This window comes from Homo sapiens, chromosome 1 (assembly GCF_000001405.40).
Source record: "Homo sapiens chromosome 1, GRCh38.p14 Primary Assembly".
Lineage (NCBI taxonomy): Eukaryota > Metazoa > Chordata > Mammalia > Primates > Hominidae > Homo > Homo sapiens.
In genome coordinates this window covers 43,919,032-43,942,745 of record NC_000001.11, presented here as the reverse complement: position 1 = coordinate 43,942,745, position 23,714 = coordinate 43,919,032, and the positions used below count along the sequence as shown (strand labels likewise).

The 23,714-nt window shown below is 53.4% G+C and overlaps 2 protein-coding genes and 1 long non-coding RNA gene across 62 annotated transcripts in view, besides 11 other annotated features; 1 reads left to right on the top strand and 2 right to left on the bottom strand.

Moving 5' to 3' along the window:
- The first annotated feature begins 2,204 nt into the window (after positions 1-2,204).
- LINC02918 (long intergenic non-protein coding RNA 2918) lies at positions 2,205-4,850 on the top strand. Its single transcript, XR_947283.2, has 2 exons — positions 2,205-2,516; positions 3,953-4,850. It is a non-coding gene; the product is annotated as a long intergenic non-protein coding RNA 2918 (long non-coding RNA).
- Positions 4,851-5,505: 655 nt separating this feature from the next.
- Positions 5,506-8,945, bottom strand: ARTN (artemin). 5 transcript variants are annotated; one of them, NM_057090.3, is made up of 5 exons: positions 8,861-8,945; positions 8,486-8,634; positions 7,030-7,156; positions 6,515-6,677; positions 5,506-6,444 (listed from the first exon to the last, which is right to left on the bottom strand). In NM_057090.3, the coding sequence occupies exons 3-5, from the start codon at positions 7,087-7,089 to the stop codon at positions 5,981-5,983; spliced, it is 687 nt and encodes a 228-aa protein (NP_476431.2). In that variant the 5' UTR covers positions 7,090-7,156; positions 8,486-8,634; positions 8,861-8,945; the 3' UTR covers positions 5,506-5,980. The 5 variants fall into 5 exon arrangements, with proteins under 5 accessions (NP_476431.2, NP_476432.2, NP_001129687.1 ...); NM_057091.3 differs by having other exon boundaries at positions 6,515-6,653; NM_001136215.2 differs by lacking the exon at positions 8,486-8,634.
- Positions 5,921-6,110: a silencer, noted in NCBI's record as "silent region_795". NCBI's record gives its function as "represses an Ori minimal core promoter by ATAC-STARR-seq in GM12878 lymphoblastoid cells {active_cell/tissue: GM12878}" and the evidence as "EXISTENCE:reporter gene assay evidence [ECO:0000049][PMID:35858748]".
- Positions 6,225-6,819: an enhancer, noted in NCBI's record as "H3K4me1 hESC enhancer chr1:44401599-44402193 (GRCh37/hg19 assembly coordinates)". NCBI's record gives its function as "activates a minimal SCP1, AML or CMV promoter by ChIP-STARR-seq in naive H9 embryonic stem cells {active_cell/tissue: H9 hESC(naive)}" and the evidence as "EXISTENCE:reporter gene assay evidence [ECO:0000049][PMID:30033119]".
- Positions 6,231-6,280: a silencer, noted in NCBI's record as "silent region_794". NCBI's record gives its function as "represses an Ori minimal core promoter by ATAC-STARR-seq in GM12878 lymphoblastoid cells {active_cell/tissue: GM12878}" and the evidence as "EXISTENCE:reporter gene assay evidence [ECO:0000049][PMID:35858748]".
- Positions 6,820-7,414: an enhancer, noted in NCBI's record as "H3K4me1 hESC enhancer chr1:44401004-44401598 (GRCh37/hg19 assembly coordinates)". NCBI's record gives its function as "activates a minimal SCP1, AML or CMV promoter by ChIP-STARR-seq in naive H9 embryonic stem cells {active_cell/tissue: H9 hESC(naive)}" and the evidence as "EXISTENCE:reporter gene assay evidence [ECO:0000049][PMID:30033119]".
- Positions 8,304-8,353: a silencer, noted in NCBI's record as "silent region_793". NCBI's record gives its function as "represses an Ori minimal core promoter by ATAC-STARR-seq in GM12878 lymphoblastoid cells {active_cell/tissue: GM12878}" and the evidence as "EXISTENCE:reporter gene assay evidence [ECO:0000049][PMID:35858748]".
- Positions 8,904-8,993: a silencer, noted in NCBI's record as "silent region_792". NCBI's record gives its function as "represses an Ori minimal core promoter by ATAC-STARR-seq in GM12878 lymphoblastoid cells {active_cell/tissue: GM12878}" and the evidence as "EXISTENCE:reporter gene assay evidence [ECO:0000049][PMID:35858748]".
- Positions 9,504-9,553: an enhancer, noted in NCBI's record as "active region_927". NCBI's record gives its function as "activates an Ori minimal core promoter by ATAC-STARR-seq in GM12878 lymphoblastoid cells {active_cell/tissue: GM12878}" and the evidence as "EXISTENCE:reporter gene assay evidence [ECO:0000049][PMID:35858748]".
- Positions 10,183-10,683: an enhancer, noted in NCBI's record as "H3K4me1 hESC enhancer chr1:44397735-44398235 (GRCh37/hg19 assembly coordinates)". NCBI's record gives its function as "activates a minimal SCP1, AML or CMV promoter by ChIP-STARR-seq in primed H9 embryonic stem cells {active_cell/tissue: H9 hESC(primed)}" and the evidence as "EXISTENCE:reporter gene assay evidence [ECO:0000049][PMID:30033119]".
- Positions 11,587-23,714, bottom strand: part of ST3GAL3 (ST3 beta-galactoside alpha-2,3-sialyltransferase 3) — a 223,624-nt gene continuing 211,496 nt past the window's right edge. For 19 of the 56 annotated variants that reach the window (NR_146867.2, XM_047428200.1, XM_047428184.1 and 16 more), the window contains 4 exons: positions 22,196-22,342; positions 21,818-21,964; positions 21,108-21,303; positions 11,587-12,614 (listed from right to left, as the gene is read on the bottom strand). Coding sequence is in view for 43 of the 56 variants with exons in the window: in XM_047428200.1 (XP_047284156.1) it covers positions 12,544-12,614; positions 21,108-21,303; positions 21,818-21,964; positions 22,196-22,342 (561 nt within the window). In the remaining 13 variants the exon portion in view is untranslated. The other 37 variants (NR_073021.3, NR_073018.3, XM_011541981.3 and 34 more) reach the window with 6 other exon arrangements.
- Positions 11,869-11,928: an enhancer, noted in NCBI's record as "active region_926". NCBI's record gives its function as "activates an Ori minimal core promoter by ATAC-STARR-seq in GM12878 lymphoblastoid cells {active_cell/tissue: GM12878}" and the evidence as "EXISTENCE:reporter gene assay evidence [ECO:0000049][PMID:35858748]".
- Positions 12,855-13,149: an enhancer, noted in NCBI's record as "tiled region #11119; HepG2 Activating DNase matched - State 9:DNaseU, and K562 Activating DNase unmatched - State 5:Enh". NCBI's record gives its function as "activates a minimal TATA promoter and a strong SV40 promoter by Sharpr-MPRA in HepG2 and K562 cells {active_cell/tissue: HepG2 | K562}" and the evidence as "EXISTENCE:reporter gene assay evidence [ECO:0000049][PMID:27701403]".
- Positions 21,332-22,147: an enhancer, noted in NCBI's record as "H3K4me1 hESC enhancer chr1:44386271-44387086 (GRCh37/hg19 assembly coordinates)". NCBI's record gives its function as "activates a minimal SCP1, AML or CMV promoter by ChIP-STARR-seq in primed H9 embryonic stem cells {active_cell/tissue: H9 hESC(primed)}" and the evidence as "EXISTENCE:reporter gene assay evidence [ECO:0000049][PMID:30033119]".

Sequence of the window (23,714 nt, the reverse complement as noted above, 5' to 3'; positions counted from 1 at the left end):
TCTTGATGAGGACCCTCCCCAAGTCCACCTGAAGTTGCTGGCAATCCTGGGAGCGCACCAGGCTGTTTCACACTTCCCTGTCTTTGTTCATGCTACTTCCTCTGTTGAGAAGGCTCTGTGTCATTCTGGATGCCATCAGGAGAGAGACATCACACAGTCAGCAGGCAGGGAAAGTTCAACATAAGCATTTTGAAGTGTAACAGGGAATTGAAGCTGTGATGAACTGGCTAGTAAGAAGTAAATAAATAAATAAATAAACAAATAAAAATCTAAAGAATATAGGACTAGCAGAGTCTTCAGGCTGAGATGGAGAGCCCAAGGAAGAGGCCCTCACCTCTCCACTCCATTCCTGTCCAGGGCTGAGAACCACACCGTGCAGGACAGGACATGGCCACAATGAACAGTGTACATTTAGAAGTGAGAGGAAATAAAGGCAATCAGCAATAACCAGTTCGGGTTCCATGCCTCTCATCCACCCTATAATCCACCCTGTGCAAACAAACTCATTTTTCAAGACTCAGTTCAAATACCACCTTTTCCACAAAGACTTTTCCTCTTCTGCGTCTATCCAGGAAAAAACTGATTCCTCTTCCTTTGTGATTGTAGAATCTGCCCCCTCCTTGACACACATACCTATAACCTCAGTCATACTTCTACTGGGGTACTTGTTTACCCCTACCTAGGGTTGCCAGAAAAAAATCAGGACACTTATTTATTTTTTTTTTTTTTGAGATGGAGTCTTGCTCTGTCACCCAGGCTAGAGTTCAGTGTCACGGCTCACTGCAACCTCTGCCTCCCAGGTTCAAGCAATTCTTCTGCCTCCTGAGTAACTGGGACTACAGGTGTGCACCACCATCCCCGGCTAATTTTGTATTTTTAGTAGAGACAGGGTTTCACCATATTGGCCAGGCTGGTCTCAAACTCTTGACCTCGTGATCCGCCCACCTCGGCCTCCCAAAGTGCTGGGATTACAGGCATGAGCCACCGCACCTGGCCATCTATTTAATTTTGAATATGAGATAAACAACAATTTTTTTTTTTTTGAGATGGAGTCTCACTCTGTCGCCTAGGCTGGAGTGCAGTGGCACGATCTCAGCTCACTGCAAGCTCTGCCTCCCAGGTTCACACCATTCTCCTGAGTAGCTGGGACTACAGGCGCCCACCACCACGCCCAGCTAATTTTTTGTATTTTTAGTAGAGACAGGGTTTCACCATGTTAGCCAGGATGGTCTCGATCTTCTGACCTCGTGATCTGCCCTCCTCGGCCTCCTAAAGTGCTGGGATTACAGGCGTGAGCCACTGCTCCCAGCCTTTTTTTTTTTTTTTTTTTTTTTTTGAGATAGAGTCTTATTCTGTCACCCAGGTTGGAGTGCAGTGGTACGATTTTGGGCTCAAGCAATCCTTCCACCTCAGCCTCCCAAGTAGCTGGACCACAGATGCACGTCACCACACCTGGCTAAGTTTTTGTATTTTTGGTAGAGACAGGGTTTCACTATGTTGCCCAGGCTGGTCTTGAATTCCTGAGCGCTAGCGATCCACCTGTTTCAGCCTCCCAAAGTGCTGGGATTACAGGGGTGAGCCACCACGCCCAGCCAATTTTTTTGTATAAGTATGTCTCAATTATTGCATTGGACATACTGAAAACAAGTATTTAGGCCAGGCATGGTGACTCGCACCTGTAATCCGAGCACTTTGGGAGGCCAATGTGGGAGGATCTCTTGAACTCAGGAGTTCGAGACCAGCCTGGGTAACATAGCAAGAGCCCATCTCTACCAAAAAAATAAAAATTAAAAAAATTTAAAAATTAGCCAGTCGTGGTAGAATGCACCTGTAGTCTTAGCTAGTTAGGAGGCTAAGGTGAGAGGATCGCTTGAGCCCAGGAGGTGGAGGTTGCAGTGAACTGAGATCACACCACTGCACTCCAGCCCGAGGGACACAGCAAGACCCTATCTAAAAAAAAAAAAGGTGTATTTATTGTTTACCTTAAATCCATTTTTTTTTTTGAGACAGAGTCTCACTTTGTCGCCAGGCTAGAGTGCAGTGGCACAATCTTGGCTCACTGCAACCTCTGCCTCCCGGGTTCAAGCGATTCTCCTGCCTCAGCCTCCCAAGTAGCTGGGACTACAGGTGCGTGCCACCACGCCCAGCTAATTTTTATATTTTTAGTAGAGACCGGGTTTTACCATGTTGGCTAGGGTGGTCTCACTCTCTTGACCTCATGATCCGCCCACCTCAGCCTCCCAAAGTGCTGGGATTACAGGCATGAGTCACCACGCAGGGCCTGAAATCCAAATTTAACAGGATGTCTTTTACTTTTATTTGCTACCCTACCCCTACTTCCATCTCCAAGTATAGTTTCCTTGATGGCAAAACATGTTTCTCACTGGTCTCTGAATCCCTGAAACTAGCCCAGTGCACGACAGTTCATGCTCGGTTAATATGAAGAGAAGGCAACTTATCTGGCTGCAGCGCTGAGAATGGTTGGAGGGAGTTGTGACTGGAGACAGTGAGACCAGGTAGGAGGATGAGGAATAAACCATCCAAAAAATTATGAAGGCTTCAGCAGAATAGCACTGGGGATAGGGAAAGGGGATGGATCTGCAGGATCTAAGGATTTGGTGACCAATGCTTAAGGGACATGACAGAGCTTAAGGAGCCTAGGAGATTGCCCAAGTTTCTGGCTGTGTCACTGGATGAGGTTGGTGCACTCACTGAGCAGGGAACACTGGGGAGGGTCTGGAAGCTGGACAGCAGGGAAGCTCATTGATGTGAGGAGCAGAGCAGGCTGGAGAAGGGTGGACAGCAGATCTGAAGGAGGAAACGGAAGACATCCAGTATGGATATGTTAAGCTTGATGTCTCCCAGGATATACAGATAGAGGTATTGGAATTACAGACTTGGGGCTCAGGTGAATGTTCTAGGCTGGAGATAAAATGTGAGCATGGTTAGCATGGAGGTGGTAACTGAAACCACGGGAGTAGACAGTGCTGCTCAGGGAGAGAGTAGAATGGGAAGAGGAGAGAGAGTCGGTATCAGAGCTCTGAGGAACATGAGAGGCAGAGAGAGGAAGAGGAACTCAGAAGTCGTCTGAGAACAAGCCTCTGGAGGAGTGGAAGGAGAACCCGGAGAGTATTGGACCAAGAGAGTCACGGGAAGACAGGTTTTCAAGGAGGACTGACACTATCGAATGCTTCTGAGACTTCAAAGGACTAAATGGCCTTTGGCTTTAGTATTGACCAGAGTCACCTGTGGCCCCAGGAGCTACAATGTGCCACCTGGTGACAGGTTATAGCTACTATGTGGTAAACAGAGGTACAGCTCTGCAGCCTGTTTCCTTTGGGGAAAACAACCTTTTCTTTCTTGCTTGCTTCTTGCTTTCTCTCTCTCTTTCCCCTTCCTTCCTTCCCTCTCTCCCTCCCTCCCCCTCCCTCCCTCCCCTCCTTCCCTCCCTCCCCTCCCTCCCTCCCTCCCCTCCTTCCTTCCCTCCCCTCCTTCCCTCCTTCACTGTCTTCCTTTTGATTTGGGTTGTCCTGAGTTGCAAACTGAGGCTAATTCATATGGGAATGTGTTCTTGGAGCTGTTGCTGTCTTGTTCCGGACTCTGAGATGTTGAGCACAAGCTGTCTGGGGCCCAGAATGCAGCCTCCAGCTGGGGTGAGCCCTGTTCCCTCAAAAGCTGGCAGCCTGGGGAATGTTGACAGCCAGCACCTTTGGCTTGGGCTGTGGCCCTCTCACTGTGAGCATTGTCAGAGATGGCTTCAGTCAGTCTCCTTTACTGGCTCTGGAGCAGCCGTGTCTACTGAGTGGCAGGGTTTGGGGACTAGGCTAGGCTTTAAAGTCTCACTAGCAGGGGGCTGCCTGGCCCCAATAACCCTGGAATTGACAGAATGTCCTTCTCTGCCTGCAGCCAGCCCTCTGTAAACTGTATGGCCCTGGGGCCATTTTCTTTGCAGGAGGGAAGGTGGAACTAAGGATCCCGAATCCGTTTGGAGGCAGAGAGGGGCCAACAGGGTGTTTGAAGGGAGCAAAGGCATCGAAATTTTTGGAGCATCTAGAACTGGGGCAGTGAATGCAGAAGAGTGGGAGCACACACACGTTTCTCCTCCTTGACCCAGAATGGGCACAGCCTTCAGAGAGCTCTTGCCAGCTCCTCACTCTAGCCTGGGTGAAGGGGGCATCTGTGCCAAAGCAGGAAGGCACACAGGCGGATTGGAAGGAATTTCTCTCAGCAGCGTCAAATGCCTGAGGGATCTCGCCCTCGACCCTCTCCATCTCTCATGGTACTCTCATTCACCCCCGGCTGCAGCTCCTGCCTCTGTGCTGACAGCTGTCACATCAATCCAGCCCAGACCTCCCTCGGCAGCTCTAGACCAGCAGATCCCACTGCCTCCTGACAACCCCTCTGGATGTCCCACAGTTCCTCAGACTTAGCATCCTTTCCAAATCCATGCCCCCATCTCATTTCCAAAAAAGAAAAATCATAGAGGCCTCCCCAATACAAATGCATAGGACATGGGAAACAAGGTTTGAAAGGATATCCAGAAAAGCTTAGGGATAGCCCTGGCCTTTTGGAGGTGACTTGGGGGTGGTATGAGAGGCCAGAGTCAGCAGTAACTTCTCCTTTCTTCCCCACGAAGGTGTGGACTTCTTAGCTTCCTGTCCTTTTCGTACCATTTGCCAAATTGAATTTAAATAATTATTACTGTAATTGCTTACTTATTGTCTGTCTCTCCTGGTTGAAGCTTCTCAAGGGCAGGGATCATGTCTGTTTCACTTCTGTATCCTTGGCATCTGTCATATAATCAGTATCTGACATATAATAGGTGCTTAATAAATATTTGTTTGAATTAATGAATATCCTTGTTCATCACCCAAGATGCAGATCCTGCTGGGGCCCTTATCTTTTCCTGCCTCCTTATCCACATGGAGCTCTGTGCTTTGCTCACCGGAGCCAGCACCCCACCGCACCCTCTACCAACCCTCGGTTTTTTTCAGATGCCCTCATGCCCTGGGCTGCTTCATGGAATGTGGATAGTGAGTTAACCATGCTGGCCTGTCTGCAAGCAGAGGCATGTGTATATCTGACAAGGCACCCTCAAGACAATTCCCTGGATGGTAAGACACTGATCAATGACAGTGGGGTGGGGCAATGGGTGCTTCTCTGTGTCTTTACCCACTAAGCGGGGGCCACAAAGATGCCAGAGGTCACAGAGACAGGGCTTTCTCCACAGAAGCCTCTGTAGTCTCTTTCCCCAGAGGTAAGCCCAGGCCCAAGTGAGCAGCCTGCCAGGACTAGTGACTGCACCCTTGCTGCCCGCCCTGCCCCTGCCTGTGTTCCATGCCTCCCATCCCGGAGCTGCTGGGTGGGGGCCGAAGATCCAGGCCAGGTCTGTGATTGCTGAGTCAGCCTGAGGTGTGTGAGTGCGATCAGCAAGGCATGATCTCCATCCAGCCTCTTCTTCCCAACCCCCTGCTGCCCAGGAAAGGATCTGACAAGCCACAGAAGTAAATAAATAACTTAGAAATAATAAATAGGGGCCAGCTCCCATGAGTGAGTACAGGCCAGTTCCAGCACAGGCACTTTCAACCAAGCAACTGCAATATGTGTCCTTCAAATGCTGTCCCTACAGGGCCTGGGCGGGGGCTGATGCCTCAGCCACTGTAGTGTTCATCAGAGGAGGGGTCCCAGGTTCGAGGCCTGGCCAGTGCCAGAGTCTGTGAGAAGTGGGTCCGAAGGGCTCCATAGCTGAGGTCTCTGGTGTCTTTTAGGCTGGGATCCGCAGGGTGAGGGCTCTGGGGCTGCTAGTCAGTTGTCCCTTCACCTGTTCGGGGATGATATCCATCACCCACCGGCAGGGGCCTCTCAGCTTTGAGGCCTTCGTCCCTGGCTGAGGCCGCTGGCTAGTGGGACTCTGCGGGAGGGTCCCAGGCAGGAAGAGCCACCGGTAAGGGTCCAGTCTGCAAAGCCCTGGAGCGAGCCCTCAGCCCAGGCAGCCGCAGGCGGTGGCGGAGAGGCGGTCCACGGTTCTCCAGGTGCTGTTGACGTCCATGAAGGAGACCGCTTCGTAGCGCGTGGGTCGGCAGCAGGGCTGGCTGACGGGCCGGGAGCCCGGGGGCGGTCGCAGGGCCCCGGCGCCCAGTAGGCTGGCCAGGCTGAGGTCGTGTGGAGAGCGCGCGCGGCGGCAGGAGCCGCTGCAGAAGCGGAAACGCACCAGCTCGTCGGAGCGGTGGCCCAGGCCGAGCGCGCGCACCGGCACCAGCTGCGAGCGCAGGCGGCAGCCCCGCGCCCCCGCTGCCCGAGCGCGGCTGCCCGGGCCCCCAGCCCGCGCCGCGCGGCCCCCGCGGGGAAGAGCAGATGGGGGTGCAGGCGGCGGGGGCGCGGGCCGAGAAGGCTGCGGCGGCGGCCGCCGGGCTCTTCCACTGCACCAGCGGGCCGTGCGTCCCCCTGGAATGAGACCCAGTCACGCGCGGTGTCCCGGGCCAGCCCCGCCCCGCCCCCTCGCCCTCTCACCTACCCGGCAGGTGGCCGGCGGGGGACGCCAGGACAGGCGGGGGGCCTTCGCGGGGGGCAGGGCTGCGGGGCGCGGAGCCCAGGGAGGCCTCTGCGACGCTGCTCAGCAGAGCCAGAGCGGCCAGGGTGGGCCACAGGGCAGGCTGCGCGGAGAGACCAAGTGGAGCCTCAGGGAGAAAGAGGGCACCCAGGTGGGCTTGGGGAGGAAGGACCTCAAGGAGGGGCTGTCCTCGGGCTGAGATCAGGCCGGGCATGGGCTCCTAGCTGTGTGGAGGGGAAACTCAGGAAGGGCCTAGGTTCCAGTATAATGGGTTTGCTGCCTCTGGGAGCCCAGGGGAGGAATCACCTGAGTGCACCGACCATTCAGAGAAGTCCCGCTCCTCCTCCCATTCACCTGGTCCCTCCCTGACCATTTTCCCTCCCACACCTAACCGCTGCCCAAGCCAAGCCCTGCTCTCCCTCACCAGTCAAGCCGCCTTTCCTCAGTACCAGGTAGGAGTCACTGGGAGAACCACTCACCTGCTGCCTAGGCCAGGGGCAGTGGGACAGCGTGGAGAGGCCTCCAAGTCCAAGTTCCATCTCTATCAACACCAGGAGCGCCCATCAGCCATTGTTGAGCTGTTCCCCCACCCTCCTGTTGAGGCAGCTTGCAAATTAAGAGATGAGTTATCTTTTGTGGGGGACCGGCCTGCCACCCCAGTTTCTCCAGGTGAGGAACAAGGGGCCTACACAGCTAGACTCAACCCAGCAGAAGTAGCTGCACTGGGAACCTTACTATGTGTTAGGTGCTTTGCAGCTATTCTTTCACAACTCCATGAGGTAAATGGTTTAATCCCCTTTTTCCAGATGAGCAAACAAGGCTCAGAGAAGCTCAGAGGTTGTCTAAGGTTACAAGGTCACACAGCTGGAGGGGAGAGAGGGGTCCTCTTTTCCCAGAACCTTCCTGCTCTGCGTTGTAGGTCTGGAGATGCCAGAAGTGGCTGGAAGGAGTTATAGCTGGACACACTTGGTCCTACAGAGGCCTTCACCCCAGGCTGCCGGAGAGGAAGCTGAGGGCTGGAGAAGAATTAGGGTGCTAGCTGGTCACTCTAAGAGTTATCTAATGATAGTGAGCCCCAAGCCTCAGCCTGTGCTGCCCACCCAGAGCTGCTTCACCTCGCCCCTCTGTGAACTGTGTTCTGGACCCAGAGCCACCTGAGTTCTCTCCTCTGACTATAGGTGTCCCTCGATGACCACAGAGCCGGGGGATGGTGGGAGCTAATGGGCCCTCTGAAAACATGGGGCCTGGGTCATGGCTTCCTGTGGCCACAAGGGGGCAGAGTCTGCCAAGCCTGCAGATTCCAAGCAGGGTGGGCTTTTCCATCCCCTCAGCTACACTCAGGCCTGAGCCACTCCCAGGAGGGCCAGCTAGGCTTCCATACCAGCCTGGTCTCTGAGAGCTGAGCCACCCTGGGAGCTGGTCTAGGTCTGTCCCCCTCCCAGCCTCCTATGGATCTGGCAGCCTAGTCATGCTCCTAGAAGTTTCCCCCTTGAGCCATCGTTCCTGATCCCAGCCAGCCTTCCTGAGCTCCCACTGCTAGCACTCCCAAACACCCTTTTGGGGCCCTAGAGCCTTCGTAAGTCCTCATTAGCCAGCCTCCTCTTGGGTCCCAGCTACCACCCTCATCCCCATCCTTTAGCACACAGAATGCCTGCACACCTGTGGAACAGACCCCCAGGCCTTCCCGGGGTTGTCCTCCAGGTCCTGGTGTGTGCCTCTTGGCTAAGTGGAATCAAGGCCTCCGAGCCAGGCCAGTGACTGTTGTCCGTGATGGAGGGAAAGGCAGGCAGGGCAGCCTTAGGAGCCCTCTGCGCTAGGGGGAGCCCGGGAGCAGGTCTCTTGAGGGCAGCTCAGGCCCTGCCTCCTACCTCCTTGTGGTCTAGGGCCATTTGGTTCTCTGGCCCTTGCCTCCCCATCCACCAGCCCGCTACTCACCACGGGGTCCTGCACCTTGTTCTTCTAGGCACCTTTCCGGGGACCAGTGCTGGGCTCTCCCCCGAAGCTCAAACAGCGCATGCCCAGGACTGTACACCTGGCAGTGCCTCTTTTAGCCAAAAGTGTGGCCTTGGCAGCCAGTCTGCACCCTGTAGCGGCAGCGGGAGCCTCACATTACAGTGGGCCGGCAAGGCCAGCACAGTCCAACAAGCGACAAGAGGGACTGAGGGGCTGGGAGGGGCGGAGAACTGTGCCGAGGGCCCAAGAGAGGGAGGATGCAAGAAAGGAGAGGAGGGGGGTGGTCCTGTCCTCTCCCCCAGCCCAAGAGCGTCCATCCAGGGCTGGGACCAGAAACAGGCAAGTGGGCTGGCTTACCTCGGGTGTGGGGCTCCAGGCCCGGGTGGCAGCGAGGGCTGGGGCCCGAGGGACCTGCTGCTGGCGGAGCCCCCGGGCCTTGTCTGGGGGCCGGGCCCAACTCCATCCCTCAGCAGCCTCCTGCCCGCCGCCGCAGCCGTCCGGTGTCAAATTCCAGCCCCAGCGTCACCAGATCCCGGGGTGGGGCTGGGAGCGCCCCTGCCCCGCCCCACCTTTCGGGGCTCACCTGGCTGCTCCACCCGTCGGATCCAGTCCCCCCTAGCTTGGCTAGGTCCCCCGAGGTTGGGAGGGGGGTAGATGCTGGGAGGGGCCCCTCGGATATGGAGAGTAGAGAACTCGAGCGGTGGAGAGGCACGGAAACCGGGAGTTGAGTTTGTAGACTCGCGAAGTAGAGAGCTGGGAGGCCGGGCCGAGGGCGGGAGAAAGTGAGTGAGGGCGGGGAGCGAGGGGTAAGCCGGTCCCTGCGTGGGGCGGCTGACTGCTGGTACGTGCAGATTTGGGGGTCCGGCTGTCTGCCCTGCAGCAGCTGCTCTCTGCTCCACCCGATTCTTCTCTCAGCGGCCAGTTCACCTGCCTTGTTGGGTTGCTTAGCCTCTGCGCAGCTTTCAGGATCTGACTCTGCTCTAGTCTCCCCACAGCTCACCTCCTGTGCTGCTTAGGGCTTGGAGTACGGACACACTTGCAAACACGGGAGTCACTGGGGCACAGCAGGGGCAGTGTTGGCAGAAGTGGGTACTGAGGGCTGAAGGCAGGGGTCACAGAGGAGGAACATCTGAGCTGAGTCTTGAAGTAGGTAGCTGGAGGGCAGCATTTCAGATGCCTAATTATGGCAATTTGGCAGGTGGGTTGAGGGCTGGGTGAGTAACATGGATGGAAAGATCCTAACACTGGGGACCATGGGAGGGTTTTGAGCAGAATGGTGTAATCAGACAGGCATTTTTTGTGGATGACTCTGGCTGTAGTAAAGAGGATGGGGTTGGAGAGAAAGGTGGAGGCTGCTGTGGAAAGAGGATGAGGTCTGATGCAGGGCATGAGGGGAGCGTGGGGCTGCCAGGCCCCAATCTGGAACACGCAATTTTGAAAATTCATTAGTGCCTGACTGGATAGGGTGAGGAGGTAGGTAGACCCTGCAAAAGTGTGCCTTTGGCGGGGTGACCTGGGGGAGGGGTACATCCCGGCTCCTGGGAGGAAAGGCAGGGGCTCATGAGTTCGGTGTTGGACATGTTGAGTTGGAAGGGCCTGTGGATTATCCAAGTGGAAATGTTCAGGAAGCCGGTGAATTTGTAGCCTGGAAGGAAGCAGAGAGAGCTGCGCTGGCAAAGGCAATTTGGGAATTGTCAACCAACTGGCAATTGGAAGCTGTGGTCAGGGATGAGAGTGCTGGGGATGTGTGTGGACCAGCTGTACCCTGGCTATGCTTCTGAACCACTAGGGACCTTTAAAAACTACCCACATCCGGGCCTCAACCCAGACCCAAATCAGACTTTCAGGGTGGACATGTGCAGTTTTCAAATTGCACAGGTGATTCTGGTGCATGGCCAGGGCTCAGAACCATAGCTGGTGTGAAAGTAGTTTTCCGCGGTGGTGAGGACTAGAAGTCAGACCACAGAGAACTGCTGCTGGAGGTGGTGGGGCTGCTGCAGGCGTGCCAGGAGCCCCCTGGGATAGGAGGCCAAGCAGGGAGCAGTCTGCTCTGTCACCTCCCACAACCGGCTGCTCAGTTGGGGCACCTGCCTTGGGGCTTTTTCAGCCAGGGACACCACTTATGGCCATTCAGCCTATGCCCTGTACAACTCCACGGGGCACCATCCAGGCAGGAACATGTGCATGGTAGTGGCCTTATTTCCGGTAGAAATGGAGGGGGTTTCTGGGTTGACCTGTCCCTCAGTCAGGGCCTCCCTTACCCCCCTAGCCCAGGAGGCTTCTGCCTAAGGCCGGCCACAGTGGGAAGGAGCATGTGGGAGGCTGCTGGTCCCTGGGATGGCCGGGACTCCAGCCTTAGGGCTCACCAGTGGGAGGGCAGCCCAGGGCTGCCTGGAGTCTTGGATTGGGGTGGGCAGGAGAGAGGAGCAGGAGCCGGCCACCCCACTTACTGCCTGCCACAGTGGCAGTGTGTGACAGAAAGCTCACTTCATGGCCTCAAGTGCAGGCGACAGTCTGGTCTGTCCATTCTCAGGCCTGCCTGGGGATGCTGGGGAAGAGAGGGATCAGACTCTAGGACTCTTAAGAAGGCGACGTGATATCTTTTCTAAAGTATGACAGAGGATACCTAGAGCAGGGCTGAAGGGAGAGGGTGTGCCTCTGTGCTAATGATTGGGGCTGGGGCATGTCCTTCCCAGAGGGACGGGAGTGTCAGTAGTAGGGTAGGTCTGTGAGCCTCTGCTTGCTGCAGGGGCTCAGCAGTATATCTTTCCTGTGCTTGCAGGAATATCTGTCCTTCCAGAGGTGGGGCTGTGGCACCCCAAGGCAATGTCCTAGGGCTCCAGTCCTGTGCCTCTGTCTCCTCTAAGAGTGTGCCCTGAAACCTCTGGTCTCAAAGCAAAGAGGATACAGGAGATGCTCCAGAGGCCTCTGGATGGCTACCTAGGTCCTGCATTGACACAAGAAGTGAAAGGGACCCAGGACTCTGTGGACTGGAGAGAGGGCCCGAGGGTTTGGCATAGTTGCTAAGGCTTTAGGTTCCTGTTTCTTCCAGGAAAGTCAGAGAAGGCAAAAAGAGGCCAGGCTCAGGGAAGAGCTTTATTGCTTCCATGGGGGTGGCCTGGGACGGCTGCCACAGCTTGGGTAAGCTCCTTGGGCCTCACTTCCCTTTGGTCCAGGCTAAAGGCAGAACCCAACCACCTGGCAGTCTTGTTGCTGAAACCTAGAACATGTGGCAAGTTGGTGAGTCCGGGCCTGCGGTAGTCCTATGGATCAGCTGCAGCTGTGGAGGGGAGCTCTTCCCAGCAGGCGGAGCTGGGCGTCACCCTCCTGAGCTTTAAAGTTCTTTCTGCTATAGCCCTGGGGCGGTCTTGTTGGCTCCGAAGGGATGGCTCCAGGGTTTCCCCATGGGACAGCTAGGGCTGGTGAGTGGGAATACCCCGCCTTCTCCCCAAGAAAGGCCAAACAGTGTCATGAGCTGGAGGGGGCTGGCTTGAGATCCTGCCCACCATCCTGTAGCCCCACAGCAAGGTACAGGCTGGTCCTGGCACTCCTGCCCCACAGGGAGCTAACAGGTAACACTGCCTGATGGGCCCTCTAGTGGGCCTCTTCCTGCATGGCAAGTGAACCCAACTTGACATCTCCAACCTTATTTAAAAATAAATTATCCCTACCCTCCCCCCTACCCAAATTCACAAAATGATAATACACCAAACACTGATTGGAGAAGTGATTCCGGCAGCAGCCTTGCTGCCCAGTGTCCCACCACCTGCATGCTGGGCCTGCTGGGCACAGCCAGGAGCCTGCTGGCCCTCTGGCATCAAGGACCCATGCTGAATGAGGCTGAGTGCTGGTCTCTGAGACTGGCTGCTGAGCAGGCACAGCTCTGGCTGCTCCACCAAGGCCTTGCTGCCCCTGGGGCCCTTGGCACCGTCCTTCTCTGGGTCTGAAGACTCCTGTGTAGGTGGTGCTGGCTGCTGCTCCTGGTGGTGCCTGGGCCTCTATGGCCATGTGCTGGGCCCACTCAGATGCCACTGCTTAGATCAGTGATGACGCGAGCTTTCACCAGCTTCCGCAGAAACTCTTTCTCTCGCTGGATATTGTGCGTCCAGGACTGAAAGGAGAGATGAAGTGATCAGTTGGGCCTTTGCTCAAACCTTTACTGCCCCTTCCAGGGCTCGGTGCCTTCTTCGTCACCACTCTCCAATACTCCGTGACTGTGGAAACCTGAAGGCAGATACTGGTAATCAGTTGTGTCTACACGGTAATGATGACCCTGCTCTAGGAGTGCCACAGCTCATCCTCCTCCCTTCCCAAGACAGGGAAAAAAGAACCTTCATACCCCTTTCCTCGTCCCAGGAAAACCGTTAAGCTTCCCAACCTCCCTCCTCAGTGCTGGCGGAAGGACCTTGTTCCCACAGACTTCAAGCCACTTCTTGTCATGAAGCACCTAGGTTATAGACACCCTGCGGGCAGGCAGTGTGAGTCACTGAAGTCCAACAGCAAGGGGTGGCTGAGTCACTCCCTGGCCTGATGCAATCTACTCTCCAGGCCTGGGGGCGGCGGATGAAATCCTGCCTCCCAGATCAGAGGAGCTATGGGGCCTGCGGAGAGATGGCAAATCTTTTTTAGAAAATTAAAAATAGGCCAGGCGCGGTGGCTCACGCCTGTAATCCCAGCACTTTGGGAGGCCGAGGCGGGTGGATCACGAGGTCAGGAGTTCAAACCAGCCTGACCAACATGGTGAAACCCTGTTTCTACTAAAAATACAAAAATTAGCTGGGTGTGATGGTAGCGCCTATAATCCCAGCTACTCAGGAGGCTGAGGCAGGAGAATCGCTTGAACCCGGGAGGCAGAGGTTGCAGTGAGCCGAGATCGCGCCACTGCACTCCAGCCTGGGCAACAGAGAGAGATTCTGTCTCAAAAAAAAAAAATAATAATTAAAACTAATTTTTTAATTGAAAGAATTGTACATATTTTTGGGGTAGAATGTGATGTTTTGATAGATGTATACATTGTGGAATAATTAAATCAAGCCAACCTCACCTACTTACCAATTTTTTATGGTGAGCACATTTGACTATAGTTAATAATAATGTCATATATTTCAAAATTACTAGAAGAGGCTTCTGGGGAAGACTGTACCTGGGATAGGGTCCTTTCCTAACCCCAGGACTCTCACCAGAAAACTTTGATGAAAAAGGCTTGATTTAATGAATGAAGGGCTGAATGACAGCAGCCTTATCAGAGTTTGTCCCCAAGTGACCTCTCTGTTGCGTTTGTCAGCATTGAGCTTCACCATAACTGTTTATTTTTTATCTATTTATTTATTTTTGAGACAGAGTTTCGCTCTTGTTGCCCAGGCTGGTGTGCAGTGGTGTGATCTCAGCTCACTGCAACCTCTGCCTCCCAGGTTCAAGCGATTCTCCTGCCTCAGCCACCTGAGTAGCTGGGACTACAGGAGTGCACCACCACACCCAGCTAATTTTGTATTTTTAGTAGAGATGGGGGTTTCACCATGTTGGTCAGGCTGGTTTTGAACTCCTGACCTCAGGTGATCCACCTGCCTCAGCCTCCCAAAGTGCTGGGATTACAGGCATGAGCCACCGTGCCCGGACCACCATAAATGTTTTTGTTTTTTTTTTCAGATGGTGTCTTGCTCTGTTGCCCAGGCTGGAGTGCAGTGGCACGATCTTGGCTCACTGCAACCTCCGCCCCCCGGGTTCAAGGGATTCTCCTGCCTCAGTCATCTGAGTAGCTGGAACTACAGGTGCCTGCCACCACACCTGGCTAATTTTTTGTATTTGTAGTAGAGATGGGGTTTCACCATGTTGGCCAGGATGGTCTCTATCTCCTGACCTTGTGATCCACCAGCCTCAGCCTCCCAAAGTGTTGGGATTACAGGTGTGAGCCATCGTGCCCGGCCAATAACTGTTAACAGCCACTATTTAGTGGTGCTGAGAAGTGAGCTGGATGCAGTGCCCTGTGCCTGTAGTCCCAACTACTTGGGAGGCTGAGGCAGGAGGATCACTTGAGCTTAGTCCACCTGGGCAACATATAGAAACCCCATCTTTTGAAAAATAATAAATAAATGAATTTTTTACAAAGAACTTATGGCTTGCTCTGTCTAGCCCTTATTCTGATCCAGTCAACCTTCTCCACCTTCCAAATCTTTTACATCTGAAACTCAGGTAGTCATCAGCCAAATTCCCGCAGTCATCAGCCAAATTCCCAATATTCCTCTTCTCTGAGCATTCCCTTCAACCTCTTGTGCTAATCACAAACCCAGCTGCCCTGAAGGAGAGTGCCCCCATACCCCCTCTCAAGTGGTGACCGTTTCTTCCCTCACATTCCACACTCCACAGCCTCTGAAGGCGGGAAGCGTCTTCCTTACACCCCGTTGTCCCTCAGACTCCCTAAAGCCCTCCGGCCCCTTCAAGGCTCCTGTCATTATACTCTGCCATCTGCACTTGCCCCTCCTCATTGCAGATCCCTGGGCGACTCATCCCCATTCTTTGAAGACTTAAGCATCTGGCTCACTGTCTCTCTTTGAGGGTAGGGACTGTTAGGCACAGAGTAGGTGCCTCAATATTTGTTGAATGAAATTAGGTTTTACAGGGAAAACAGAGACTTGGAGGAAAGACAAGGCCAGGATTCAAGCAGATGTGGAAACTCGTTTGCCTCTTTACTTATCCCTCGTCCTCATCACTCCTCTGGAGAAGTAGTAACGAATTTGATGGGTCAGGGTCAACAGCACCCACTAGGAGTCATTGAGGGTTAAAAGGTCAGCAGAGGACTGGACATTTGATGATATTAAGGAATTACTGTTCATGTTTTTAGGTGTAATAATTTAAAAAATAGTCCTTATCTTTTAGAGAAAATGAATGAAGTTTTTTGTTTTGGTTTGGTTTTTGTTTTTGAGATGGAGTTTTACTCTTGTTGCCCAGGCTGGAGTGCAATGGTGCGATCTTGGCTCACTACAACCTCTGCCTCCCGGGTTCAAGCAATTCTCCTGCCTCAGCCTCCTGAGTAGCTGGGATTACAGGCACGCACCACCACTGGCTAATTTGTATTTTTAGTAGAGACAGGATTTCGCCATGTTGGGCAGGCTAGTCTCGAACTCCCGACCTCAGGTGATCCACCTGCATCGGCCTCCCAAAGTGCTGAGATTACAGGCGTGAGCCACCACGCCCGGCCTGAATGAAGTATTTATGGTTGGAGGGATATATGGTATCTGAGACATGTTTGAATCAGTGGAGTGGGAGCATGAGACAAAGAAGAGATGGAACAATGTTGGCCGCCTGTTGATGCCTGTGGAAGGTGGGGGGCAGGAACGTGGGAGTTCATGATATTATCCTCTGTACTCGTAATATGCTTGACAATTTCCATCATAAAAAAGTAAACAAGAAAGTCAGCCCTGGGGTGTAGCTCTCTTGGATCCGGCAATGCCACCTCTCTGGTGCTCTTTTCCTAATTCTATGCAGACAACTTCTGAGTTCACCTGAGCTTTGAACTGGCCGCGGCTGGTGGAGGATTCTGGTCATCCTGGGGTCTCCAGCCTTACCAGGGCCCTTGATTCTGAGTATTGATGTCCATCCCATGTCACAGTCCACACTCTCAGAAGCTTTTATTTTTTTTTGAGACGGAGTTTCACTCTTGTTGCCGAGGCTGGAGTGCAATGGTGCAATCTCGGCTCACTGCAACCTCGGCTCACTGCAACCTCTGCCTCCCGAGTTCAAGCGATTCTCCTGCCCCAGCCTCCCGAGTAGCTGGGATTACAGGCATGCGCCACCACACCTGGCTAATTTTGTATTTTCAGTAGAGACAGGGTTTCTCCATGTTGGTCAGGCTGGTCTCGGAACTCCCGACCTCAGATGATCCATCCGCCTTGGCCTCCCAAAGTGCTGGGATTACAGGCGTGAGGGACCGCGCCCGGCCAGAAGCTCTTTTTCTTTGGCTCCTCGCCCAACCGTTAAGTATCCACGTTCAAGGGTCCTGCCAGGATGAGCCGCGCTTCTCACTCTCTGTCCTCTCTCTGGGAAATCTCATCCTTATATCTGAAGAAGCGGCTGTGCTAACAACTCACAGATCTATACTTCCAGCCTGGACTTCTCTGCTGTGTGACAGATTCCCGTATGAAGCCACGTCATCCTCTAGCTACTGCCCAGTCTCTCTACTCCCTTCTCTTCCAAGCATCCTGAGAGATCCCTTACCACGAGCAACATCTGTGGTCTCTAACCACAGATGTAGGTGCCGTCTACTCACTGTTCACTACTGCAATCTGGCTTCCACTCCACTATTCCTTTGAAACTGTTCTCACCACAGTCAGCAGTTAACTCCTAACAGCTACATCCGACGGCCACCTCTCAGCCCTCATCTTACTGGGTTTCCCAGCACCACATTGTAGATGCTCTTCCTGGAATGCTGCTCCTTTGGCCTCCACGATGTGGCACCTTCCTGATTCCTCTGTCTCCTTTATGGATTCCCTTGACATCCCTTCCATATCCCCGGCATTCAATCCTTGGTCCATGTGTCTCCACATCCCACACACTCCTGCTGGGCCTGCAGAGTGAGCTGATCAAGGCAAATGCAGGTGAAGTGAGGAGAAGCCAAGGTGTTGAATGGTCCATGTGAGACACCCCAGGTAACAGAGGGATTCTAAACCCGGGCACCAACATTCTCAGTGAATCCTCTTCTGGGGATTGGTAAATAACAGTGGCAAGTAGGGGTAAAATATTAATCATAATGGCTAAGATTTCTGAGTGCTTACTACGTGGCAGGCCTTTTTTACACATGATCACATCCGGTCCTTTCCAAACCCTAGGAGGTAGGTGCTGTTACTGTCCCTTTCATAGATAAGGAAATGCAGGTCTAGAGTCAGCCCCTGAACCAAGGTCCTGAAGTCATCTTTTATGATTTGAGAAGCTACACTCTTTTTTTTTTTTTTTGAGACACAGTCTTGTTCTGTCACCCAGGCTAGAGTGCAGTAGAGCTATCTTGGCTCACTGCAATCTCCACTTGAGCCCTCCTGGGCTCAAGCAATTCTCCTGCTTCAGCCTCTGGAGTAGCTGGGATTACAGGCATGCACCACCACGCCTGGCTAATTTTTGTATTTTTAGCAGAGACGGGGTTTCACCATGTTAGCCAGGCTGGTCTCGAACTCCTGACCCCAGGTGATCCACCCGCCTCAGCTTCCCAAAGTGCTGGGATTACAGGCATGAGCTACTGTGCCCGGCCAAGAAGCCACACTCTTAAGCACTCTACAGGGAGTGTAGTGCAGCAGATGCTGGGAGCCTCAGAGCCAGTGAGGTTTTACATGTAATGGAGGGACAATGGAGATATGGCAGGTGGAAGCAAATGAAAAGACTCCATCAGAGAGGGCTGCAGGGAAGGCAGTGCCCTACCTCATTCCTGCACCAAGGCAATCCCTAGGTCTTACTGAGTTAAAATCCTATTTCTTGAGTCTGTCTCATCACCTTATACTTCCAGCCTGGACTTCTTGCCTCTGACTAATCGCCTTAGCCGAAGATCTGGCTCATCGCCTCTCTCATCACCTCTCATTGTCTCAGCCAAAGATCTGGTTCAGGAGTTACCATCTCTTGCCCAAAGTGCAGCAACTCCCAACTAGGTTCTGTTCCTGCCTCGCCCCCTCTCCTTCATTCTGCAGCCACAGTGATCCACTACATGCTAATGTAAGGCCTCAAACTCACCCATGTCTCCCCACTGCCTTCTAAATAATGTGCAAACTCCTTCCGTGGCACAGAAAGCCCATTGCGATTTGGCCATCGCCCACGTCTATGGCTCTCACCCTCTGCATACAACTTTACATAAAGTTTACATAAAAGGCATTTGTAAAAGACCAAAGATATAAGTAAACGTAGAAGCCAGGAGGCTGATAAAAGCTGTGAGGGCAATCTGAAGTGGGCGCTGGCTGTGGACAAAGCAGCAAGAAGGCACGTGAAGCATGGCAGGGATGGAAGACTTTCGGGGCCACGGTGATGGTGAGGCAGTTCTAGAACTGTCCCAGACCCACAATGAGCTTCTCACTCCTGAACCCTATCCGAGACAACAGGAGGCCCAGCTGGAAGGCTGTTTCTAGCTTCCTATGAGATTTCCAAGTGCCTTATATATCCTTGAAATAACTCCCAATCACTTGAGGTAGTTGGAATAAACCTGCTGTAGACTGAATGTTTATGTCCTCCCCATGAATTCATATACTGAAACCTAACCCCCAATGTAATGGAATTTGGAGGTGGGGGCCTTTGGGGAGGTGATCAGGTCATGAGGGCAGAGCTCTCATGAATGGGATTAGTGCCCTTATAAGACTCAGGGCCAGGTGCAGTGACTCATGCCTATAATCCCAGCGCTTTGAGAGGCCAAGGCAGGAGGATCGTTTGAGGCCAGGAGTTCAAGACCAGCTTGGGCAACATAGCAAAATCTCATCCCTACAAAAAATAAAAAAAATTAGCCAGGTGTGATGGCACACACCTGCAGTCTGCTACTAGGGAGGCTGAGGTGGGAGGATCACTTGAGCCCAGGGGTTTATGGCTACAGTGAGCTATCATCACACCACTGCACTCCAGCTTGGGCAACAGAGTGAAACCCTATCTCAAAAAGAAAAGAGAGAGACTCAGGAGAGCTGCCTTGCCTCTTCCATCATATGAGGAAAGCAAGAAGACAGCTGTCTATGAACCACCTCTCTGGTGGGTCCTGACCAGATACTGAATCTTCCCGCACCTTGATCTTGCACTTCCCAGCCTCCAGGACTGTGGGATATGAATTTCTGTTGTTTAAAAGCCACCCAGACTATGGCATTCTGTTATAGCAGTCTGAAGGGGCTAAGAACCAAAAAAGCCTGATACAATATAGGTGGTACCTGAAGTCATGGACAGGGATGTAAATCTCCTAGAGAACATGCAGAGTGAGAAGAGAAGGCTGTCTGAGATGGAGCCTTGGCTAGTGCTTTTTTTTTTTTTTTTTTGAGACAGGGTCTTACTGTCACCCAGGCTGGAGTGCAGTGGCACAATCATGGCTCACTGCAGCCTTGACTTCCTGGGCTCAAGTGATCCTCCCACCTCAGTCTCCCAAGCAGCAGGGACTACATGCGCACACCAGCGCTCCCAGACAACTTTTCCAATTTTTCTTTTCTTTTTTTTGAGACGGAGTCTTGCTCTGTCACCCAGGCTAGAGTGCAGTGGTGTGATCTCGGTTCACTGCAAGCTCCACCTCCTGGGTTCACACCATTCTCCTTCCTCAGCTGGGACTACAGGCACCTGCCACCATGCCCGGCTAGTTTTTTGTATTTTTAGTAGAGATGCGGTTTCACCGTGTTAGCCAGGATGGTCTCGATCTTCTGACCTTGTGATCCACCCACCTCGGCCTCCCAAAGTGCTGGGATTACAGGCATGAGCCACCATGCCTGGCCTTTTTTTTTTTTTTTCTTTTTTGAGACAGTCTTGCTCTGTCGCCCAGGCTGGAGTGCAGTGGCATGATCTCGGCTCACTGCAACCTCCACCTCCCAGGTTCAAGCAATTCTCCTGTCTCAGTCTCCCGAGTAGCTGGGACTACAGTTGTCCACCACCATGTCCGGCTAATTTTTGTATTTTTAGTACAGACAGGGCTTCACCTATTGGCCAGGCTGGTCTCAAACTCCTGACCTTAGGTGATCCACCCGCCTCGGCCTCCCAAAGTGCGGGGATTACAGGCGTGAGCCACCATGCCCTGCCTCCTATTTTTCTTTTTTGAGACGGAGTCTCATTTTGTTGCCCAGGCTGGAGTGCAGTGGTGTGATCTTGGCTCACTGCAACCTCTGCCTCCTGGGTTCAAGTGATTCTTCTGCCTCAGCCTCCTGAGTTGATGGGATCACAGGTGCCCACCACCACGCCTGGCTAATTTTTGTATTTTTAGTAGAGACAGGGTTTCCCCATATTGGCCAGGCTGGTCTTGAACTCCTGACCTCGGGGGATCCGCCCACCTTGGCCTCCTAAAGTGCTGGGATTACCTGCGTGAGCCACCGCGCCCAGCCAATTTTTCCTATTTTTAGTAGAGATGGGGTTTCACCATGTTGCCCAGGCTGCTCTCAAACTCCTGGGCTCAAGCAATACCCCTGCCTTGGCCTCCCAAAGTGCTGGGATTATAGGCATGAGCCACTGTGCCCAGCTATGATGAATTTTAAGGCGTAGATCAGAATTGATGATGCTGAGAAAGAGAATGTGAGAGAATGGTGAGTGAAATAAGAGGAATGTTGGAAATTACTGACTCAGAAGTTCAAAGAAGAAGGAGTGGCCAACACGAAAAGTGTTTCTGAGAGATCAGGAAAGATGACGTTGTGTCCACTGGAATTGGCCACCTTGAGGTGGTGACCTTGATGGGAGCTGGGTCAGGTGTGAGGGGAGCCAGGCTGCAAGGGGTGAAGGGCCAAGTGGGAGTACAGTGCAGAGCCCGACAGATCAGAGTCCCCTCTGTGGCTTCAGTTTCTTCACTGGAAGAGGGAGGAGCTTTTGGGGCATGGAAGGCTCTGGAATAGTGGAGGGGGATGATGGAGAAGGATAGATAAGAAGACTGATAAGCAGGAATGAGGGCTGAGACCAGAGCCCCCAGACTTACAGAAACAGGAATCTGCACAGATGGGAGGTTCCCTCCAACAACCTCCCATCACCCAGATGTAGCAGCAGAGAAGCTGTTGAAGAACTGGCCCAAGATTTCCAGGTTTCAGGCTGGGATCAGTGGAAGGCTGGTGGTCAAAGCAGAAGTGTGGCAAGCGGAGTTCAGAAGGGTTCAGATTTTCCACATGGGGTCTTGGCTAGGGAGGGAGAAATGCCAGAAAAGGCTGGCTGACAGGCTGGAGACCTGTAATGTACCCTACATACGGATGTTTGGGAAGCAATTCGGGGTATGAAGAGCTGCAGTGCTTGGCTGTGGGGAAGGGTGGAAGAGATATGGAGAAGTCCTGAGACCCAGAGGCAGTGTTCAGTTGTGGGTTTTTTGAGGGAAAATAGCGTCCTCTGGGGGAAGGCAGGAACTGCAGTAGAGAGGATGGCTGAGCTGGTGCTAGACTAGTGTTCCTGACTGGGGAATGCAGCGAGGGGGAGGGAGGTGCAGGACCAGGGCACGGAGAGTCCCTTGGAAGGAAAGTTCAGGGAGAAGGCCCTGGGTTCAGTGGGAGGCTGTGGAGAGGGCACGTAGGATGCTTGGTGTCAGGACCTTCTGGGGAGTTCTGGGCAGCCAGACCAGCCACTGGCTCCTCCCTTTACTACTCATTTATGCACCTCCCCCTCATCCCCACCCAGGGATTGCCCCCATACCCAGCCCCGAACCTCTTTGATGGCTGCCATGCGAACGGTCTCATAGTAGTGCAGGGGTGCGTTGGGTGTGCTCATGTCATAGCCAAATCCTGCGACTGCCACCTCGTCACAGCCGTGTAGTGCCATGGTCACTGCCACACTGCCAAGGGTAGGGATGTTCTAGAAGACGGGGGCAGGGGTGAGAGAAGGCATGCAGAGTTCAGCTGGAGGGCTGGGACAGCTGAGACTTCAGCCAAGCTCCCTAGAGCTAGCCTCCATGCCCAAGGACTGAGCCCTCTTCCCCAGAAAGCTATTTTGCAGAAGCACTGCCCCACCCACCACCCACCCTTCCTTCCAAGGCACTTCTGACCCAGCTTTCCTCCTCCCTCTCCCAGGGCCCAGATATCTCACCCCCCGGCCCATGAGGCCATTGTTGAAGGGCAGGCCAATGAGGGTGAAGGCGGCCTCCTGGATGAAATATGGGTTGAGGATTCGAATCTCAGGGGGCTCCTTGGGCACTCGAGTGGCCACAGATTTCCAGAAGCCATCCGATGCACTCTGTGGACACAGCAAAAGCGGGCCTCAACGAGGCACACAGCAAGGGATGAGCCTAGGGGAGTGGCAGGGACCCCAAGTAGGGACAGTGAGGCGGGAGCATGAGGCGTTTAATGGGGAACCCAGGGCCTGTGGTGTAGGAAGCCCATCTGTGTTTGGGGAAATGGAGTGTGTGACAGGGACAAGGGGAATGATGGTGAAGAGAGCGTGTGGTGGGGCTCCAGTGTGTAACAGAGGAGGATACGAAGGGAGTCGTCGGGCAGGCACAGGATGTGGGATGCTGTGGGTGTGCTGCTGTGGCCTGAGGGGGCTCCTGGGCCAATAAGAAGACCCAGCAGTGCAGCTGCCCTGCCTCCCTATCTGCAGCAGCTGAGGGGCTGGGAGGTGCCTGCCCTCTCTCCTGTCTGCCCTCCTGTGCTCCCACTTCCCTTGCTGCTCTCTCCTGGCTCTCTCCATCGACTGTTCTAGAGTGGACCTGAAAAATGGAGACAGAGCGTGAGCAAGTAGAGTATAGCAGACCAACACTGCTGTTGACTAGAGTTGGGTGACTGGGCAACAAGCTCTCCAAGCCTGTTTCTTTAACCATAAAACGGGATCATTCTTACCGGAGGGTCTCTGCACTGTACTAGAAAGGCATCACCTCTGAAATCCGACATCCCAGTGTCCATTCTGGGGCACAGCTTCCCCTCCTTTCAAGTCTCTCTCTTCCTCCCTCTCCACAACACAGAGGCCTTTAGCTCCCCAGCCCTTACTGTTCAGTGCGTCCACCCCTCCTTGTCTAGACCCTGAAGTATATTACATCAGCTACTCTCTTGTGAGCTCCTCCAGTACTCTGCCCCTTGTCCTTCTATTGCCCTAGTCTAGGGAAATCCCGAACTTGGGATCAACCCATACATCCTCTTTTTCTACCTTTACAGCTGGGCTCCTGAGCACTGCTGGAGGTCACAAACCAACCCTGCAGACTGGCGGCACTGCCAAACCACGGGCTCCAACCGAACTGTTATTTGCATAGAAAACCTAAAAGAATCAGCCAGGCGCAGTGGCTCATGCCTGTAATCCCAGCACTTTGGGAGGCCAAGGCGGGTGGATCACCTGAGGTTAGGAGTTCAAGACCAGCCTGGCCAACATGGCAAAACTCCATCTCTACTAAAAATACAAAAAATTAGCCAGGCATGGTGTCAGTTGCCTGTAATCTCAGCTACTTGGGAGGCTGAGGCAGGAGAATTGCTTGAACCTGGGAGGTGGAGGTTGCAGTGAGCCGACATTGCACCACTGCACTCCAGCCTGGGCGACAGAGCGAGACTCTGTCTCAAAAAAAAAAAAAAAAAAAAAAAAAAGAAACAAAGAAAGGAAAGAAAAGAAAGAAAACCTAAAA

Excerpts from the sequence above, each read along its gene's own strand:
- ARTN (XM_047433657.1), bottom strand. The coding sequence starts at position 7,089 with ATGGAACTTGGACTTGGAGGCCTCTCCACGCTGTCCCACTGCCCCTGG. Across the intron at positions 6,678-7,029 it reads GCCCCTGGCCTAGGCAGCAG|GCTCCACTTGGTCTCTCCGC; the intron begins GTGAGTGGTTCT and ends TTTCTCCCTGAG. Across the intron at positions 6,445-6,514 it reads CCCCGCCGGCCACCTGCCGG|GGGGACGCACGGCCCGCTGG; the intron begins GTAGGTGAGAGG and ends GTCTCATTCCAG.